Below are 21,524 nucleotides of genomic sequence, written 5' to 3'. Positions count from 1 at the left end.
AATGCTATTGAGCGTGCATCTCAACAGCATCATGCTAACTGAAAGAATCCGAATACGAAAGACAGCATACTGTCTGATTCTATACATAAATCATAGGAAAAGCAAAACTAAAGTGACAGAAAGCAAACCAGTGGCTGCCAGGAGACCAAGGGTCAGGGCAGAGATGGACTGGTGAGGGTCACAGAACTGTTTGGGGTGACAGAAATGTTCTATATGGTGATTGTGGTAGCGCTTACACTAAGGTACACATCTGTCAGAATTCTTGTTTGTACCCCTCAAACTGGTGAATTTTATTGTGTATAAATATACCCCAATATACCTGACAAAAAGGAAAAAGGGAAAAAGAAAAAAAAACCTTGTACTTCCACATCAGTGCCTGGGGCACACAGTGAGAGCTCAGCACATAGTGAATGTCTGGCATTGGAGTTTGAAACATTAGTTGTCCTGATCCACTACCTGATGCTGCTGAACCAGTTCTGGATGGGGATTCGCTGGGAGGTGACCCCGTGGACAGAACAGTGGCAGTAGGATGGGATGGAGTCCTGCTGGGAGGCAATCCCATGGACAGTGTGCTGGCAGTAGGATGGGATGGATTCTTCATGGGAGGCGATCCTGTGGACAGAGCGCTGGCAGTAGGATGGGATGGATTCTTCATGGGAGGCGATCCTGTGGACAGAGCGCTGGCAGTAGGATGGGATGGATTCTCCCTGGGAGGTGACCCCGTGGACAGTGCACCGGTAGTAGCAGGACTGCTCTCACTGCCATTGTTGCCTGTAACACACTGCTAGAAAGTAAGGGCACATGAAAAGACACTTTAATCTTCTTATCACAAAATACAGTAGTCCTCCTTTATTCATGGTTTTGCTTTCTGTAGTTTCAGTTACCTGTGGTCAACCAAGGTCCAAAAATAGTAAATGGAAAATTCCAGAAATAAACAGTTCATAAGTTTAAAATTGTCAGCCATTCTGGTAGTGTCATAAAATTTTGAGCTGTCTTATTGCTTCCAGCCTGTGATAGGAATCATCCCTTTATTTCACACCTCCACACTCAGTAGCCGTCTTGGTTATCAGATCTACTGTGGTATCATAGTGCTTGTGTTCAAGTAACATTTATTTTACTTAATAATGGCCCCAAAGTGCAAGAGGAGTGATGCCAGCAATTGGGATATGCCAAAGAGAAGTCATAAAGTGCTGCATTTAAGTGAAAAGGTGGAAGTTCTCAAGAAGGAAAGGAAAAACCCATATGCTGAGAGTGCTACAATTTTAGGCAAAAACGAATCTTCTATCCATGAAATTGTGATGAGTATATTGTTATCATTGTTCTATGTTATTAGTTACTGCTGTTAATCTCTTACTGTTCTTAATTTATCAATTAAACTTTACCATAGATATGTATAGTATGTTTAGGAAAAAACATACTGTATATACGGTTCAGAACTACCCACGGTTTCCGGCATCCACCATGGGTTTGAAACATATCCCCTGGGTAAGGGAGACTACTGTAACTGGCAGATCTTCAACTTCGTGTGTTAAACAGAATAAAATTTACATATATAACTAAGAAGTAAAAACGTTCCAGCCTATCTCTAAGAAATAAGTTCCTTTGTAAGTAATATTAAGGCACTACTACTTTCTCAGTACCTGCTACATGCCAGGCACCCCACAAGTAGTTTTTTTTTGTCACTCAGCAAACACATATCGAACATTTATATGTTCTAGGCACTGTGTCAAACACTAGGAATATAATAATGAACAAAACAAAGTTCCAGCTCTCCAGGAGCACCTACTGCATAGGGAGAAGTACTATATAAATACATCATTTAGCCCTCAGAGTAAGCTATGAGGGATTCATCTTTCCATTTTCCTAATAAGGAAACACAGGCAAAGAAAGGTTAAATAACTTGTCTAAGTGAATCTTCCTAACTAGTGACCGAGCTGGGATTTGAATCCGTGTCTTAATCCATAGCCCAGGCTTTACTCACTGTAATATACTGCCTTCCCTTAGATTTTCAGCAAGCACACCAGGCTTTCAAAAGTGAGCATATTTTCTTGATTTGTATCACTAGATTTTGAATATCTGTTAAAGAAGGGTATTGTACCTTAAAGAGAAGGTCAAAGAAAAATCTGTGTAAATATTCACACTTGCCTTGGATTCTATACCTAAATATAGGAACGTCAGATTCCAAAGTTTAACCTGCTAAATAAACCTGAGAATGGCTTTTTAGGTAAAGGGATGAAAAGTTAAAGGAAGCAGACCAAAAAAGCTTTTGGTTTTGAAAAAAATGACATGTTTAAGTGTGAAACTATAAACTGCCTACTCTACTGATAACAAATAAAATAGCTCCTACCTCTTCATACACACCTGTTGTCCTGTGACTGTGCATGAAGAAGTACAATCGTTAAATTGTCAATATGGCTTATTCCTATCTCACCTGACCATAACCCCGGTTGTAAGTAAACAAATACGTGTTATAGGCAATGAACACTTAAGCGTAATACCTGTAACGAATTTTAAAGAGTAGAGGGAATCCAGTTCACATGAAAACTTAAAAGATAGCACTTTGGAAAAAACCTCACAAAGTATATAAGAAACTAGAACATAGATGATTCTTTCATGTCTACTTTCCAAACAGAGCCAGGCAGATGTGTTTCATGTTTACACAGAATTAGGCTAACAGGCTCACTCACAGTAGCCACGCGGATTACCTACTGAGAATGTCAGCACTGAGTCCCAACGCAACCACCTTAACTTTAGTAAGATATTCACTTTCTCACTTGAGTGTTGAAAATGAGCATCACTTACATACTCAGTTTGTGGGCACGTGTTCCTTCTCATCTGATCTGGAGATTCAGAGGGTCTGGGCATCTCTTCCTGAAGTAAGTTTAACTGCAAGGGTGAGCTGCTTCTCGAAGTAATGAACGGGTGCCCCTCGCTTTGTGCCTCCCACTTTTCCTCCTCTCTCCTTTGGCTGGTGACTGAAGGGGGTGGGTCCAGAGTTGGACTCATTGCTGACGACATTGAGGGTGATATCGCAGAAGAGGCTGTCGCCCCCAGGAATGGACATGGCAAAAACGATGGCGACAACAGAGGACAGACAGGGGGGTCAGGCAGGAAAACGGTCATAAAAGTATCCAAGTAAGGAAAAGGGAAAGCTGGGTAAGGCTGCAAGCCCTCGGACAAGGGCAGCCCATGCAGGCCTTCCGGTGCAGTTCCGGGGGCTGCGTATTCTCTTCCGGGTGAGGTCGCGGCTGGGAGGGGAAAAGCTGGGACGAGGTAAGGGGCCTGGCTGGGCACCATGGCGGCAGGTGGGAAGGTCGGGCTCGAGGTGTGCGGAGAGGAGGCCGCGGAGGGGCAGCAGGGCTGTGCGTTCTGATGCGCTCCCCTGCGGGGACCAGAGCCGGTGTTCGAGCTGCTGCTGTCTGGCGGCTCCGGCAGCTTCTTCCGCTTGTGCTTCCCTTTCCTGCAGCCGGCCGACCGCGTCTGCTTGGAAGTAGAATCTCCTGGAAGGATAAAGGTAGAGGCAAATTATGGAAAATTAAACCCAAAAAGAAGAGAAGGATGCCACTTACAGGTAGTTATAAGTAGCTGACGAATGAGCATTTGCCAATACTACCAGAATGACAAAAAGTGGCTCTAAAAAGATGAACAAAATTCCGGATAAAAATAGTTGCTATCAAATAAACTTATTTCAGCATCTCTCGATCAGTTTCTCACAAAAAAGTTTCTCAGATCTAGGATCTAACAAAGAACTTACATAAACTGTTGATGTAAATAGATTGTTTCAGCATCTCTCCATCAGTTTCTTACAAGTAAAACTCCTATTGTTCACTCCTTATCTCCTAGTCCTTAGATACAGTTTGTAACATTTACATAGATTAATGGCATTTATTTTTAAAAAATTACGTACCTTGAAAATATGAATATTTAGCTTTGCTCCTGCTTTCTTGCTGAAGATAGGAGCTGTAGGGTGATGACAGGATCTTTTCTCGGAATTTATCAACATAATTCTGCTCTTCCTTCTGGGTGTGCGCTGACAGAACAGCCGCTGTGAGCCCCACGTGTTTAAATTCTTCCGAGGTCAAAGGGGCTGGCTGCATGTTCAGGGTCCAGGGCTCACAGAAGAGGGTAGCATCCCTGGCTGAGGTGGAAGAAGACATATTTAATTTTAATTCCTATCAATTATTTGTATTTATTTTACTTTGTTAACTGCCTTTTGATACATTTTTACAAACATTATTATAACTGCTGGAATACGAAAAATCTTCATTAGCCTAGCACAGAAATTCTTCATTTTCTGTCTTCCTTTATATTCTTTGCACAAATGCACATACATTTTACAGTTGTGATAATCAATATGCACACATTTATTTAAATCTTGCTTTTATTGTAAACATTTTTCTCTCTCCCTGAATTCTTCAAAATTTCTTTTTATCTTTGAACTTACCTTTTAAATAGGTAATATATTCATGTGGTTCAAAAATCAGGAAGTATTAATAAAGACATGTAGTAAATTCCCCTCACCCCCGTCCACGCTCTGTCTAGTTCTCATTTGTTTCCCCTGCAGAAGACCATTCCGCTGGAGTGAAGTGGCGCCGTCATGGCTCACTGCAACCTCCGCCTCCCAGGTTCAAGCGATTCTGCCTTAGCCTCCCAAGTAGCTGGGACTATAAGCGTGTGCCACACCACGCCTGGCTAAATTTTGTATTTGTTCATTTTTTTTTTTTTTGAGATGGAGTTTCGCTCTTGTTGCCCAGGCTAGAGTGCAATGGCGTGATCTTGGCTCACTGCAACCTCTGCTTCCTGAGTTCAAGTGATTCTCCTGCTTCAGCCTCCCAAGTAGCTGGAATTACAGGCATGTGCCACCACACTGGGCTAATTTTGTATTTTTAGTAGAGACAGGGTTTCACCGTGTTGGCCAGGCTGGTCTCAAACTCTTGACCTCAGGTGATCCATCTGCCTTGGACTCCCAAAGCGCTGGGATTATAGGCATGAGCCACCGTACCTGGCCCTTCCAGTTTATTACATATGAACGAGGATGAATATAGATTATCTTCCTCTCTGACCCCATCTTTACCCAAAGGCACATACGTACATTAACCATCAACACACCTTTTTCACTTTACCATATCCCTTGGAGAACTTTATCAGTGGCTAGACAGTTGTCTCATACTTCTACACTGCTGCGGAGTTCCATTTTATATGCATAGCACAGTTTACTAAAGTGAACACCTGTGGATGGATTTTGGGTTGCCTCTTTTTTATCTATTATTGATATATAATAGTTGTACATTAAAATTTCTTTTATTGATATAGAATAGTTGTATCTATTTTGGGGTTGCTTCTAAAAAAATTACTTCTAACAACAAAAGATTTTGTGGTGGACACTGTAGAGGGCTCCCCCAATATCCATTCCAGCTCGCCCCTGTGGTGCAGCATCCGGGTGGTTTGGGTAGGTTTGGCCCACTCTGCATCCAGAAGTGGCCTGTGACTAAATGAGCACCACAGGGGGCTTTGCTTCTGGCCAAGTTGTAGTAACAGGGACCAAACTTACCTTCCTGAGATTAAAAAAAAAAAAGCCAAAATATATAAAATAATAGGTTTCAGACACTGAAGGAAAGTGACCCCCGAGGATAAGAAACAAGGGAGGTGAGCCCGAGGACTGCCCCAGCGTGCAGCCTGGAGGGCTTCCAAGGACTCACCAGGGCATTCATGGGAGGAAAAAACCACCTGAGAGGATTAGCAGGAACAAGAGCTGAAGCTCACGCAAGCTGCGGAATAGTGCCGGTTCCCATCCGCCAGACTAGAGACTCTCCTAACTCCTGAGGCATCACAAGGAGCACTCAGGAAGGTCTCGCCTTTGTAGCAGAGGAAAAACAGGCCTAGACTACACACTATTTGTCCTGCCTAGCAAATTTAAAAAGCAAAGCCTGAAAGGATCAATCTGTTTACAGGTAACTTCACTGGGACCCAGAATAAAGATCAAGAATATTTATAGGAATACAAATATATTTGGTACCCATTCACAGTATCTGGCATCCAATTAGAAAGAATCACCAGGCATGCAAAGAAGCAGGAAAATACAACCCCATAATAAGGAAAAAAGGCACCGAGAAACTGAGTCTACAGTTTATATAGACAAAAGACCTAACAGTCAAAGCAATCTTGAAAAAGAATAAAGCTGAAGGATTTAAACTACCTGATTTCAAGACTTACTGTACAGCTACATGAACCAAGACCACTCTGTACTGGTATAAGGAGTTTATCAATTTTGTTCATCTTTTCAAAAAACCAACTTTTAGCTTTAATTTTCTCTATTGTCTGTTTTCTATTTTGTCGATTTTTGCTTTTGTCTTTATTATTTCCTTCATTCTATCTTGGACTTATTTCACTTCTTTTGCTGACTTTTTAAAACTGTAACTTTAGATCATTGATTTGAGACATTTCTTCTCTAACGGCATTTTTAAAGCTATTTATCTTCTTACAAGCCCCGTTTTTAGCTGTATCCCATACATTTTAGTATGCTATACTTTCAGTATCGATTTGGAAATGTTTTCTAATTCTCTTTGTGATTTCTTTTTTGAATCATAGATTTAGAAATGTGTTGTCTGATTTATAAACATTTGGGTTGAAATATCTTATTACTGATTTTTAATTTAATTCACTAGCCAGAGAACACAGTTCACACACCATCAATCCTTTTTAAATCTGAGACATAGTACAGCCCAACATGTCGTATTTCTCAGTGAACATACTGTGTGTACTTGAAAAGGTTGTGGATTATACAGTTACTGGGTCTCACGTTCTCTAAGTGTCAATTAGATCAAGGTGGCTGATAGTGTTGTATGGATCATCTGTTTCTTATTTTTTCTCTATGTTTTTATCAGTTGCAGAGAGGGAGTGTACAATTTTCCAAATATAATTATGGAAAGTCTATTTCCTTATTTTTGCTTCATAGCTTTTTTTTTTTTGAGATGGAGTTTTGCTCTTGTTGCCCAGGCTGAAGTGTGGAGTGCAATGGCGCAATCTTGGCTCACTGCAACCTCCACCTCCCAGGTTCAAGCGATTCTCCTGCCTCAGCCTCCTGAGTAGCTGGGATTACAGGCATGCATCACCATGCCCAGCTAATTTTGTATTTTTAGTAAAGATGGGGTTTCTCCGTGTTGGTCAGGCTGGTCTCAAACTCCTGACCTCAGGTGATCCGCCCGCCTTGGCCTCCCAAAGTGCTGGGATTACAGGCGTGAACCACCACGCCCGGCTGCTTCATAGCTTTCAAAGCTGTTATTAATGAATATACATTTATGACTGTTATGTCTTCCTGATGAATTGACCACCTTGTCATTATGAAAAGATGTCCTGGAATCTATTTTACATATATTAATAAGGCACTGCAGCCTTCTGATGCTTACGGTTTCACTTGTGCATCTTTTTCCATTCATTTACTTTCAATCCATTTGTGAATTTCACTTGTACTTTGCATATAGTTAGGTCTTGATTTTTAAAAATCTGTTTTGAGAATTTTTGCCTTTCATGTATTTACTTATTTTTAGAGACAGGGTCTTGCTCTGTCCCTCAGCTGGAGTACAGTAATGTGATCAGAACTCACTGTAGCAACGAACCCAAGATGAGCTCAAGCTAGGCTCAATTGATCCTCCTGTCTCAGCCTCCCAAGTAGCTGGGACTACAGGTGTGGGTCACCACACTTGGCTAATTTAAACATTTTTTGTAGAGATGGGGTTTCACTGTATTGCCCAGGCTGGTCTCAAACTCCTGGCCTCAAGCAATCTTACCTCCTTGGCCTCCTGAGTCCCTGGGGTTACAGTTGTGAACCACTATGCTTGGCCCAATTTTTGCCTTTTAATTGAAGTGTTGAGTCAATTTTATGTCATTATTGACATAGCTGCATGCAGAGCTATTATCTTATTTGGTTTGTTCTCTCTGCTTCTTTTTTGTTAATCTATTCCTCCTTTCCTGCTCTTCTTTGGGATTGAGTTTATTTTAAATTTGCATTTTATTGATTGGCTTAGTCATTGTATCTCATATTCCATCTTTTAAAAAATTATTTTAGGGCTGGACGCTGTGGCTCACGCCTGTAATCCCAGCACTTTGGGAGGCCAAGGTGGGCGGATCACCTGAGGTCCGGAGTTCGAGACCAGCCTGGCCAACATGGTGATATCATCTCTACTAAAAATACAAAAATTAGCTGGGCATGGTGGCGGGGCCTGTAATCCCAGCTATTTGGGAGGCTGAAGCAGGAGAATCGCTTGAATCCGGGAGGTGGAGGCTGTAGTGAGCTGAGATCGCACCACTGCACACCAGCCTGGGTGACAGAGCAAGACTCCTTCTCAAAAAAAAAAAAAAATTTTTTTTTAAATTTTTTGTAGACAGAGTCTCACCATGTTGCCCAAGCTGGTCTCAAACTCCTGCATTCAAACAATCCTCCTGTCTTGGCCTCCCAAAATGCTGGGGTTATAGGCATGAGCCACTGTGCCTGGCCTACATTCCATCTTAATTAGACCCTGCTTTAGGTTCAAAGTATCTGTAATGGCAACGACTCCTAGAGACTAATGGTCAATACTTGATTCCCTACTCTACTACTCATGGGCTGTGTCATATTGGGCAAGTGAAGTTACTGTGCCTAATTTGTGGTTTAATTGTTCCACACATAAAATGAAGACATTAACTTGCAAGGAAATGCATTTGTGACCATCGTCCTTAGACACAACTCATCTGAGTCAGGATGCAAACTGAGCTAATGAATATGAGCTTTTCAGAAAGCAAAAGACATAGAGATATGTTTTAAGGAATATCTGGGCTCTGATTCTGCTTTTTCTCCATGGAATAAAGATGTGGCCCTGTAAATGTTGAGGCTGATTTAAGATCAGAAGAAACTAATAGCAGTAAAAATTTCCTAAAGCATATAGACTTTAGTATAAATTCATTAAAAACGGTCATATAAGAGCAGAGTATAGAAAGCAGAGTGGCAGAATATAAAAAAAAGAGCTTTTCATATTGGGTGATACCCTCCCTTCCTGTATGGGCTGTATTATGAACAGCTACATGCCCACACAGGAATGCAAAATATTAAAAGGCACACTAAAAAATGTGCATATGCTCCTCTGTGGAGGGGCTAGCTCAGTTCCAGTGAAACTCTACTTTTGACTAATTAGAAACGTAATGCTCTCTGATCTTTCTCCACCAATCCACAGATCTCCTGTCAGTACCACACTCTCCATCTCACAGGTTGTTGGAAAGATTTAATGAGATCATACCAGTGAAGAACTAAGAGCAGACAGTGGCACACAGAAATGGCTTAACACGTATTAGCTGATAAGCCACTGAAGACTAGCAAAGATAAAGCAGAGATCATGTGAAAACCCAATTTAACGTATTTGTCACCATTCCTTCATCTACCCAAATTGTTATGAGTGATGAAAATGTCAAAAGGACAAGTGGCAATAAAGAGGAATAAGAAGACAGTAGAATAATTTACCAAGAAATTATGGTATTAAATGAAGAGTTTTAAAGTACTCTATTCATTGCCATCACAGCAATACAAAAATCTGAAGGTATGTGTGACTGAGCTCATCACAATACAGGATGGTGAAATGCAGGTGAAAGGAACACATTCTGTGAAAGTCAGCAAGGAAGTAACCTAACACAGTGCCATCAATAATTGCATTAATAATGGCTAACACTAATTGAGGGCTAATACCTACCTACTAGGTACTGTATTAAGTGCTTTATATGTGTCAACTGATTTCATTGACAAATAACATAACTGAGAAATACTGTCCAAAATATGTAACCAACATAAACATGATAATGTTTCCAGAAATACTTTAACTGAACTAAAGAAAGGAAAAAATATGTGTAGTTTAGAAGTTACAACCGAGCGAATGGTATTCATGACTTTTGTTTTCTCATCACAATGTAGTTAAAGTTGAGTATATTTTCAAAGTAAGAGGCGAGTGTGGTACCTGTCTCTGGGGGTGGGACATGGACAATGGTGCTGCTGTAACCGCATTGGCTTATGCCCGACCCCAAGCTCAGCATCGCCGTGGACAGGATCTGTGGAGCTCCTCCTCCTGTGTCTATGGACCGTCCATTTGTTGGCATTTCTGATTTAGGTATGGCTGGGATTTGCAAACCAGCTGGTGGTGTAAGAGAAACTGACAGTGAAAAGAAAAATTCCCAACGAGAAATTTACATAAAAGACCCAGTTTACAGAAGTTTGTAACTGAGAAATTAAACCTTACTGTCATAAAGAGGTAATATGAAACCAGAATTTTATGCTTATAACAATATAAGACATTAAAGAGAAACAAGAAGGATGTATTTACAGTTCTTTGAATTTAACTCTGAGGGGCATTCTTGTTACCTTGTAAGGCTTGGACATCATCTGCCTTGTGGTTCTGTTTGTCTTCTTCTGAGGAGGAAGAAGTTGTATTTGTACAGGAGATACACTTTCTTTTCAAAGCTGGAATGTTGTAGCTCTTCAGGTATCTGTAACAACATAATTAGGCCACACATTCTTACCTGTTCCCTAATTGTGCCATTTCCCACCTCTTTGCTTTTCTCATGCCACTTATGTTTGGCATACTTTGTACTTTCTTCTTTGATAAAGTCTTCCCTGACCATCCCAGCCTCAATCACTGGATTGTAACATTTCTTTTACTGTGGTCTTGAATTAACCTTCAAATCTTATACCATGGGTGTCCAATCTTTTGGCTTCCCTGGGCCACACTGGAAGAAGAATAATTGTCTTAGGCCACACATAAAATACACTAATACTAATCATAACTGACGAACTAAAAAAAAAAAAAAATCACACAAAAAAATCTCATAACGTTTTAAGAAAGTTTACATACTTGTGTTGGGCTGCACTCAAAGCTGTCCTGTGCCACATGCAGCCTGTGGGCCATGGGTTGGAGAAGCTTGCCTTACACCATTTAATTTTGACAAAATTAGGTCTTGTCTTCTGAACTATACCACAGTTCCTTCAAAGAAGGAATGCATCTTCTAGCTTTTTGTGCCTTCTGAAATGTTCAGCGTATGTGTTAGGCACGCCATAAACGTCTACTGATTTATAGTGAAAAACCAAGTCAGAGCAGCTATTAAAAATTCTATGAAGTCTCTACAGTGGCAGTGTATGCTTCCGGAACAGACTTACATGGTATCCAAACTTGCGGTCTCATACCTGATGACACTGTCGATACAGTTGATCTGTTGATAGGATGGGCTGTGCTCATCGTTCCTCAAATCCTCACAGGGCTCAGTGTACACACTATTGTTTTTCAGTGTTTGGTGGAAGGAAGTAAAGGTCTTACATTCACCTGAAACAGAATAAAGGGATGTGCAATTAAAAGTACCCAGCATGTAATTAAGAACATATACTTTCTTACCAAAATTAAATCATGGCACTTTATCATGTATATATCAACAGAATATCATGCGGCTATTAAAAATGAGTGCAGATCTAAAATGCACTAATAGAAAGATATCCACAACACGTAATGAATAAAATAAGGTGCAGAGCACATTACACATAGAATGGCTACGATTGTATTTAGAAAAATAAGGAATGAAACAAAAATTTCCAACAAAGATTATCAAGGAATGAAACCATAGGTTTAAGGTTGATGGGGAGCTTTCCAATGTTAAGCTGACGCTTCCTGTACAACTGATCAACCCTGGCAATCACTAAGGGTGGAATGTGGGAAGACCTGTGCATCTTACGTGATGCTGTGTGAAGTACACAGCATCTCCCAGGTGGAGCCTGTGTCCAACAGAACTTTCTGTGATGACTGATGGATTATTTGTGCTGACTAGTATTATATGTGCTAACGTAACTATTAAACACTTGGAATATGGCTAAAGCAACTGAGAAACTAAATGTTAATTGTATTACATTTAATTGTATTGAATTTGAATTTAAATTGCCACATGTGGCAAGTGGCCACCATTGTAGATGTAGTAGTTTAGAGAGAAGAAAAAACCTCCAGGCTTAAGCACTAAAAACTTCCTATAAAGGACAATGAGCCAATAAAGGAGACTGAAAAAGGGTAGCTGGAAAGATAACAGAAAATCCTGCAAGGTTTGGCCTCACAGCGACCAAGAATGAAAACTTTCTTAAGGAAGGAGTAACTAATTATGTCATGTACTACTGAGAAGTTTTGTAGAAGTGTTAGATGCTGGTCATTTTTAGCTGGCTTGGAAGAGGCTTCTCTATTTTCAGAGCATATTATGGAAAAATGACTGTATTACCTTTCACTCATTAATGATTTTTAACTTTTAATTTTGAAATAATTTTAGACTTGAAGAGTTGCAAAAATAGTACAATAGAGTTCCTATATGCCCATCACCCAGCTTCCACTAATGTTACCATGGTCTACAACCATAATAAAATGACCCCAACTAGGAAATGAACAGTGGTACCATTCTACTAACTGGAAAACAGACCTTCTTTGGATTTTATCAGTTTACCACTCAATGTTGTTTTCCGTTCAGGGTCAGAACTTTAGTGGGATGGCCTTCGATTTGAGTTTCTCTGATGTCTTCTCATGATTAGATTGAGGTTATGCATTTGGGGAGAGAATGCGGCGGAGGTGCAGTGTCCTTCCTTGTGCATCATCCCAGGGTACATGATGTCAGTATGTTTTGTTACCTTGTTCATTGGTTAACATGGTGTCTCTCAGGTTTGTTTGTCCTGTGTAAAGTTACTATTTTACAATGTAATAAATAATATGTTTTGGAGGAATACTTTGAGATCACGCAAGTATTCTGTTTCTTTTAAACTTCTCAAAGTTTAAGTTCTCCATTAACCTTTCACCTCTATTTCATTCCTTGATAATCTTTGCCTGAACCATCTGTTTTATTCTTTATTTGGTATAATATACTAACCCGTGTCTATCCATCCCTCTGTATATTAAACAAAAGGGGCATGAGTCCACACTGAAACTGTTCGCGCCAATCCAGCACCATGGAGTTCCTTCCCTTCTGCTTTGTGTGGCTTTCCTGATAGTGAGGAGTCTGGTCATCGTTATCTATAGCGGCTTCCACAATTTGTTCAACCCTAGTATAAAGTCGCTTTAGAATTGCTAACCCATACTCTGGTGGGAAACGAATACACCAACTTGCGTACAGTGTTTGTGCACATTCATAATTTTGTATTTAGCCCTAGGAGATACAGTTGAAGCACTGTTTTCCAAAGCTACTGAGCTCCGTTCTTCCCCACCCCTTCCGTGTGTTTAGGCCTGTCATCTGTAATGCAGTTGGACTCAGTTGTCAATGCCTGCATCTCATCTTGGGTTCTCTCTGCATTTTGGGGTGAGATGGAGTGCACAAATCTGTGGGTTTTGGCAAATGCACGGAAAGTTGTGTATCCATCACCACAGTAACCAAAAGAACATTTCCATGACTTAAAAATGTCCTTACAGCTGTCCCTCTGTAGTCACCTCCTTCTCTACCCAATCATAGTAAATACTGATCTGTTTTCCAGAGCTAGAGCATTCCAGAAAGAACGCTTTTCCAGAATGGAATTGTACAATATGTAACCTTTTGGTTCTGCCTTCTTTCACTTAATGAAATGTATTTAAGATTTATATATACAATGGTCTGTGAATCAAGTTCATTTCTCTTCACCGTTAAGTAGCATTTCACTGTGTGGATACACATAGCTTATCCATTCTCCTGCTGAATGACATTTGGGTTGTTTCTGTGTTTGGAGAGTAACAGTGTAATAAATATTCATGTACAGGTTTTTGCGTGAACTTAAGTTTCTATTTCAGTTGGGTAAATCACTAGGAATAGAATTGCTAAGTTACATGGTAAGAGTATGTCTAACTTTATGGGAAATGTCAAACTTTCCCAAAGTGGCTGTACAATTTGGCATTACCTCCAACAATAGGTGAGTGCTCTGGTCACTCTGTGTCCTTGTCAACACTTGTCAGTTTTTTAAAAAAACTTAGCCATTCTCACAGATGTGTGGTGTTATCTCATATGGTTTACATTTTTTTTGTCTAATGACTTAGGTTCAGCATCTTTTCATATGCTATTTACTGTTTATGTATCTTCTTTGGAAAAATGTTTCTAATTGGGTTGTCTTCTTGAGTTTTGAGCGTTCTTTATGTACACTGGATATAACTTCATTATTGTATATATCATTTGCAACTATTTTGTCTTTTCATTTGTCTTATCAGTGCCTTTCAGATAAGATTGGGTACGTTCAGGGTGGTATGGCCATAGTTATCAGTCTCTTTCAAAAAGGAGAAGTTTTAAATTTTGATAAAGTCCAACCTGTCCTTCCTTTCTTTTCTTTTGTTCAGTATGGCTAAAGACTTATTAATTTTATTACCCTTTGATTTAACTTAGTTTCTCTTCAATTCCATTGATATCTGGTCTTTATTATTTCCTTCTTATTGCTTACTTGTGAAACAATTTGTTCTTTTTTCTCTTATTTTTAAGGAGGAAGCTTAGATTACTGAGTCGAGACCATTCTTCTTTTTTCCATATAAACACTCAGTGCTGTAAATTTCCCTTTAAGCAGTGTTTTAGGTATATCCCACATATTTTATGTTCTCTTTTCATTTTGTTCAATTCAATTTTTTTTTTTTTTTTTTTTTTTTTTGAGACGGAGTCCGCTCTGTCGCCCAGGCTGGAGTGCAGTGGTGGGATCTTGGCTCACTGCAAGTTCCACCTCCTGGGTTCACGCAATTCTCCTGCCTCAGCCTCCTGAGTAGCTGGGACTGCAGGTGTGTGCCACTATGCCTGGCTAATTTTTTTTTTTTTTGTATTTTTAGTCGAGACAGAGTTTCACCGTGTTAGCCAGGATGGTCTCGATCTCCTTATCTTGTGATCTGCCCACCTCGGCCCCCTAAAGTGCTGGGATTACAGGCGTGAGCCACTGCGCCCGGCCCAAAATGTTTTTATTTCCCTTGAAACTTCCTCTCTGACCTGTGGATTATTTGTAAGTATGAAGTTATTTAATTTCTGAACATTTGAGGATTTTCTGGATACCTCTGTTACTGATTTCTAGTTTAATCCATTATGGCTAGAGAATAAACAGCTCTGATATTAGATACATAAACATGTAAGACTGTTCTATGTTCCTAAGGAATCAACTCCTTTATCTGTTACACAGTCTCTCTTTCTAACTCTACTAACATTCCTTGTTCTGAAGTTTACTTTGTGTAATAATACAGCTTCCCGCTTTCTTCTGTGTTAGCATGGTATATCTTTTCTACTCTTTTGCTTTTAACCTATGTTTATTTTCACAATGGGTTCTTGTAGATAGTATGTAGCTGGATCTTTTCATCCAATTTGACGATTTCAGTCTTGTAAATTAGTGTACGGAGATTATTAATATTGAATATGAATAACTGGATTGAATATGATTCATATATTCAGTACATTAGTGATTGCTGATGTTGCTGGATTAAAATATGCCAGCCACTAGCTGTTTTCTGTTTGTTCCATTTGCTATTTAAGTGTATTTTTAGAGATGAAGTATGGCTACGTTGCCCAGGCTGGACTCGAACTCCTGGGCTCAAGTGATCCTCTCACCTCAGTGTTCTTAGTAGCTGGCACATAACACCACTCCCGGCTTCAGTCCATTTGGTTTCTGACCACCATTTTGGGTTAAGTGTCTTAAATTCCATTTTACCTCCTCTATTAACTTATTATTTATACTTAAAAAATATTTTCGAATTGTTTTCCTAAAGTTTCCAATATATATTCTTGAGTACTCAGTGTCTACCTCCAAATAATAAAATACTGTTTCAAATACAGTATAAGGAACTAATAGTATATTCCCAATAACTTCCTCCCACCCTCTGTAGTATTGTTGTCACAAAGATTACTTTTATATATGCTATAAATCCAGTTTGCTGGTTTTGCTTTAGTCCATTATCTTTATGATTAATTTTAAAAATTAAAAAATAGAATTTATTTTATCTTCATTTATTCCCTTTCCAGTGCTTTTCACTTCTTTGTGTAGATCCAAGTTTTTGGTCTGGTATCATACTCTTTCTAAGAAATTCCTTTAGCATTTCTTGTGGAGTAAGTGTGCTGGAAATAAATTCCCATGATTTTTGAGAAAATCTTTATATCACCTTTATTTTCTTACATATCGTTTTCACTAGGTATAGAATTCTGTGCTGACAGTTTTTCTGGTTGAGGATGCTACTCTATTGTCTTTTTAGTGTGCATGGTTTCTGAAGAAATGTCTGTTACAATTCTTGTCTTTGTTTCTCTGTATGTAATCTGTCTTTTTTCTCTGCTTTCAAGATTTTCTTTTTTCCATCAGTTTGAATATGATATGCCCAAGTGTTTTGTTTTGTTTTTGTTCTGTATTTAACTTACTTGATGGTCTTTGGCTCAGTAGAAAATTCCTGACTGTTATTTCTTCAACTATTTCTTCTGAGATTCCAATTACACCTATGTTGGACAGTTTGAGGCTGTCTCCAAATTCTTAGAATGCTCTATTCTGTTTGCTTCATTCTTCTTTCTCTGTTTCAGCTTGAATAATGATTCTTTTCCAGGCTGTGTTGAGTGCTATCAAATGCGTTCCTCATCTCTGGCATTGATGTTACAGATGTTACATTTCCATTTGAGGGTTTCTTTCATGCCCATCTCTACGCTGTGATTACCCACCCGGTCCTGCATGGTGCCCACTTTGTCCACTAGCCTTTAATACATCATTCATAATTATTTTACTTTCCCTGTCAGATAGTTCCAACTTCTGTGTCCTCTCTGAGTCTTGTTCTGATGATGGTTTTGTCTCTTGGGAGGTTTCTTTTTTCCCTTCTTGCCCATCATATGCTACATAATTTCTTGTTGAGAACTGTGTAACTTGTGTAGGACACAGAGACTGGGCATGCCTTTCCTTCTTTTAGACCTCTGAATTAATCTATTTTTTAGGCCAGGTTTGAGTATTGTAATGGTTCTACAGCATGTACAACAGCTTTCAAATTCCTCTAGTTATACTTCTTGCCTCAGCTGGTGGCTGGTTTGGTGGGTAATTTTTTTGTTTTTTCTCAGTATCTGCTCCACTTTCAGCTTTTGGTCTTTCCTTGGCATTGTGCCTTCGAGAGGGTCTGTCTTTTGCAAGTTACTTGACTCAGGCTGTCGGTGCACTGGAATCCAGTGCTGCATCTTGCTCCTCCCTGCAAATATGTTTCTCTCCTTAGATTTTAGGCCTGCTGGCTGCTCTGTAACCTCAGCACTCTGAAGTCAAGAAAGGTCTTGAACTTGCCTTTCATCTAGATTTTTCTGTTGTTAAGTCTGGGGTGATGCTGTTTCTGGCTCTCTACATCCCTGAGCAGAAACTGGAAGCAATCTCACTCTGAACCTGTTCAACTTAAGGGTCCTCTTCTCTCACTCAGACATTCCATCACCCTAGACATGGACACTTACTTTTCCCAGATTTCCTCAATGATGTCTCTTGTAGTTGGCCTCTGTACATGTAGCTGAAGGGGCTTTACATATCCCTGTTATTCCTTGCCCTCCCATATTAACTCATACTAACTTTTAAAATCTCTCTTTAAAGCATTATTTGCTCTTAGGTTGTAAGAAAGATAAATATAAATTTTAAACTTAAGTTCCTATAACACATGTAAACAATGATCATGCTTAACTAAGCATTTTCCTTTTCATTGGTATACATCTCTAGTCAATTTCTAACATTTAAATTATAACATTTTTAAGTTGCATCCTCATGTCTCTCAAGCAAAGAGTATAAAGGTTTCTGTAGCTCTTTAAACTTGTAGGTCTCCAAATGTTAATAAAATCAAGATCTCCCAGAAACATTGGTTCTCCAAAGCTGTGCCAAATGGCAAGAGATCTTCCTTCTTCTCCAAAGTCACATCCTGTGTGTGCTATTAGAGCCAAATGTAAGAATCTATCTAAGGAGTGGGAACATTTCAGTTTCTAAAGTAGCTGCATAAGCACACGGAGTTACCTGCAGCTTCAATTTTTTTTTTTTTTTTTTTTTTTTTGAGACGGAGTCTTGCTCTGTTGCCCAGGCTGGAGTGCAGTGGCGCGATCTCGGCTCACTGCAAGCTCCACCTCCCGGATTCACGCCATTCTCCTGCCTCAGCCTCCCAGGTAGCTGGGACTAGAGGCGCCCACCACCACGCCCGGCTAATTTTTGTATTTTTAGTAGAGACGGGGTTTCACCATGTTAGCCAGGATGGTCTCGATCTCCTGACCTCGTGATCTGCCCACCTCGGGCTCCCAAAGTGCTGGGATTACAGGCATGAGCCACTGCACCCGGCCACCTGCAGCTTCAATTTTATAAAAAGTGAATGATGGAATATTGCCATCTACTTAAAGATATAGCCTTCAAAAAAAAATAGTACCGATGGCATTACAAGATCCATGGTCGATGATAAGAAACTGAATAATGCAGCAAGTGAGAAGGGAAGCTATACTGAGATGAGGACAGAGGTCAGTGTGTGAAACTGTGATACTACCATGAGATCCTAGGCCCAGGCAGCTGTGAGCAGGACTAGCAGGACCAGACAATGAGAAAAACATTTAGACACTTTAGCTTTAAAAACCTCCTAAAAGAATTCTCTCTGCTAGGACATGGAATAATAATCTATATAGTAAAAATTGTATTTAAGATAAATTCTTTTGCAGAGGAGAAATGTAGGGGTTTCAAGGGACAATAAAAAAAGCAGCTGTGATTCCTATCTTGTGCCCTTACATGTAACAGCAGAAGAAACCAATGGAATGCTCAACTTCCTATCGAGGTGAAAAGAAAAAAAATGAAAGAACAGGACTTGCTCTGTCTGGGGAGTCCAATGGGCTCTACTATGGTTTGAATGTGTGTGTCCCCCATGACTCCTATGTTGCAACTTAAAACTCAATGTGACAGTGAACAGCCACGGCCTTTAGGAAGTGACAAAGTCATGAGGACTCTGTTCTCATGAATGGGATTTGCAACCTTTCAAAAGGGCTAGAAGGAACTAGCTAAGTCTCTTTCTGCCTTTCTGTCCCTTGTGCCATGTGAGGACACAGCGTTTGTCCCCTTCAAGGAAGTGATGTTCTCTGAGAAGCACAGACCTGGCCCTCGCTAGACACTGAACCTGCCGGTGCCCTGATCTTGGACTTCCTCGCCTCCAAAACTGTAAGAAATAGGTTTCTGTTCTTTATCCATTATCTAGTCACAGGTATTTTGTTACAGCAGTACAAACTAAGAAAGTTCCCAGTGATGTCACCTCTGGGAGCAGCAGTTTGACTTTCTGTGGTGTAAATCATGTCAAGTCCTGAAGCATATAGCTGTTATCATTATTGACCTCAAAAATTTCACCCCACTGTGTAAAACGTCTACATTTGACAATGATAGAGGTTAATAACATTTAGTGACCAAGATCCATCACAACTTCCAAGTTATATTAACATTCAGGAAGAAAAATGAAGGGAAAGTTAGCTAAATTTAAATGTCAATCTAATTTGATTTCTATATTATTGAACATCCCCTATGCCATACAATGCAACTAGGTTAACTTTTCAATATGATGCCAGTTTTACTACTGATCCAGCTCTTTTTGAGTGCTCCTTACCTTGTATTTGAGAAAAGTAAATACATGTCAAGAAAAGAGCCAAAGTTTTTCACTGAATTTAGGTCACAAAGATTTTCTGTTTGAAATGACAGAAAGGGATTTTCATTTTAATATACTTTATTATTTAAAATGCATTCTAAAATCCACTCTTTTTGTTTAAAGAGATGCCCATGTAGGGAGGGAAATCTATAATTCGTTGGTATTTACAGAGAAGTTAATTCTTCAGTAAAAGTGAACTGCAACTGTTACAAATACATTCTAATACCATTTCCTTTCAGAACAGTATTTGTTGCTGCCATTATTATTACTACTATTGCTATTACTATTGCTATCTAGGCAAATCAAGAAATATGAAAAGCAGCAACACAGGGTCATGACTTTATGCTCACGAATCACATACATGACGTCTATGCAGAGAGTGACAGCCCATGGAAGGAGATCCTTGGGGCTGCCGGCTGACTCACCACCACCATTCGCTGACTCACCACCACCATTCGGTTCTGTGCGTGTCCCCGTCACTGGCTTGAATGATGATTTGGTCATTGACTCAATGTAGAGCTGCTGACCCAGATTTTTAATTTTGTTCACACTGGCATAGACCTGCTGCAAGGTCATCTTAGGGAAAGGAATGATAAAATATGTTTCAAAAATTATAAAAATGTCCACTAAAAGATACATAAACAAAATACACTTAGCTTCTGTTTCTTTGAAGATATAATGACTGAAGCACAGTAATCACTTTAATCCAGTTTCCTGCACCATGCCACAGTATACTGGTACCAACAAATTCTAAATAAATCTGTTCACAATATGCTAATTTTTAGAACGCATACAATTAATTCAAATATCACTTTCCAAAGGTGATATTTTCTTTTTACAGACTTTTTTTTCCAAACCAAAATGGATGAAAATATCTGTTATCAGTTGAGGTCTTCAAGTCAGGAATATATACTAAGATGTCACCACATTCAGAACCGAGGTAGTACAGAAAACACGATGCCTGTATAAGAATGTGACATAAGCCCATGCACCTGCTCCGCCTTCGTCTCCTCCACACGGTGCCCACTGGCCTCACTGGAGGAGGCGATGCTGACAAGCTGCTCCTGCGACCCGCTGCTCCCCAGGCTCCCGTAGCCGCTGGACACGCTCACGTGAACTGGCTGGAAGGACAAAGAGGAACAAGTCCAGAATTGCTGGCTGTTCAAATGCAGCCACCGCAGAGCTCATCTAGAATCATGTAAAAATTAAGATGACAATTCCTGAAATACTAAATTAGGTGTGTGCAGGTTGGTACTTTTAATGCTGATGCTGACACGAAAGGCACTCCTCTGTCATTTCGGCAATTTTCAAGAGCAAGGTCTTATGTTCTAGTCTAGGTAGGTATTTCCAGGACAACATATTGTTAAAAAGCCATAGTATAATTAATTTTTTAAAACAGGAAAATAAACTCTAGTTCTTTATGCCCAGTTTAGAATACAGAGAACAAACTAACTATATATTATACTTTTTCCAAGAACGTGGCAGGTATTTCATGCACCCTAGAGATTTTATGGGAGACATTCTGAAAACCACCGAGGACAGTTACTCTACACGACACCATTAGTTCTATTTACCACTTATTCATTGAATCTCTTGTAGAAAACACCTTTAGTTATTTCAACACATACATTTTCCCACTTTTACCTTACAATAGTTAAGAGAAACTGAGACCTACCATCCCTCTCCTCCCATCTTTAAAACTGAAATTATTTTAAAAATCCTGAAGCCAAAACCCAAAGGCTGAGCACGCTGGTGCCTTTGGAATGTAATAATTCTCTCAGTCACGTGGTTTGCTGTCTTACAATGGGTTCTTACAAAAATATTCTGTGTAACACAGAATAAGGAACAAAGAATAAAATTTAATTTAAAAACGAAAAGAGAAAGACAAAAATTTCTGGAATGTAGAGGGCAAAGATTTGT

General features: G+C 39.6%; 1 protein-coding gene and 1 long non-coding RNA gene across 48 annotated transcripts in view, besides 2 other annotated features; one reads left to right on the top strand and one right to left on the bottom strand.

The window, feature by feature from the left end:
- PER3 (period circadian regulator 3) overlaps positions 1–21,524 on the bottom strand; it is a 60,887-nt gene that overhangs the window by 14,560 nt on the left and 24,803 nt on the right. For 13 of the 47 annotated variants that reach the window (XM_047433453.1, XM_047433437.1, XM_047433434.1 and 10 more), the window contains 8 exons: positions 20,597–20,725; positions 20,030–20,180; positions 11,198–11,333; positions 10,379–10,503; positions 9,978–10,151; positions 3,908–4,138; positions 2,803–3,500; positions 457–784 (listed from right to left, as the gene is read on the bottom strand). In XM_047433453.1, the coding sequence (XP_047289409.1) occupies positions 457–784; positions 2,803–3,500; positions 3,908–4,138; positions 9,978–10,151; positions 10,379–10,503; positions 11,198–11,333; positions 20,030–20,180; positions 20,597–20,725 (1,972 nt within the window). The remainder of the gene's footprint in view (positions 1–456; positions 785–2,802; positions 3,501–3,907; positions 4,139–9,977; positions 10,152–10,378; positions 10,504–11,197; positions 11,334–20,029; positions 20,181–20,596; positions 20,726–21,524) is intronic. The other 34 variants (XM_047433459.1, XM_047433473.1, XM_047433454.1 and 31 more) reach the window with 5 other exon arrangements.
- Positions 2,889–4,088: an enhancer, noted in NCBI's record as "CDK7 strongly-dependent group 2 enhancer chr1:7886590-7887789 (GRCh37/hg19 assembly coordinates)". NCBI's record gives its function as "activates an origin of replication core promoter dependent on BRD2, BRD4, P300/CBP, MED14 and CDK7 cofactors, with strong dependence on CDK7, by STARR-seq in HCT116 cells {active_cell/tissue: HCT116}" and the evidence as "EXISTENCE:reporter gene assay evidence [ECO:0000049][PMID:35650434]".
- On the top strand, positions 3,500–21,481 carry LOC124903833 (uncharacterized). Its single transcript, XR_007065450.1, has 2 exons — positions 3,500–3,571; positions 19,014–21,481. It is a non-coding gene; the product is annotated as an uncharacterized LOC124903833 (long non-coding RNA).
- Positions 19,143–19,343: a silencer, noted in NCBI's record as "peak42 fragment used in MPRA reporter construct". NCBI's record gives its function as "represses an SCP1 promoter by STARR-seq MPRAs in K562 erythroleukemia cells {active_cell/tissue: K562}" and the evidence as "EXISTENCE:reporter gene assay evidence [ECO:0000049][PMID:32103011]".

This window comes from Homo sapiens, chromosome 1 (assembly GCF_000001405.40).
Source record: "Homo sapiens chromosome 1, GRCh38.p14 Primary Assembly".
In the NCBI taxonomy this organism is placed as follows: domain Eukaryota; kingdom Metazoa; phylum Chordata; class Mammalia; order Primates; family Hominidae; genus Homo; species Homo sapiens.
Note: the sequence above shows the minus strand (reverse complement) of the source record. Positions and strands in the feature narration are given on the sequence as shown.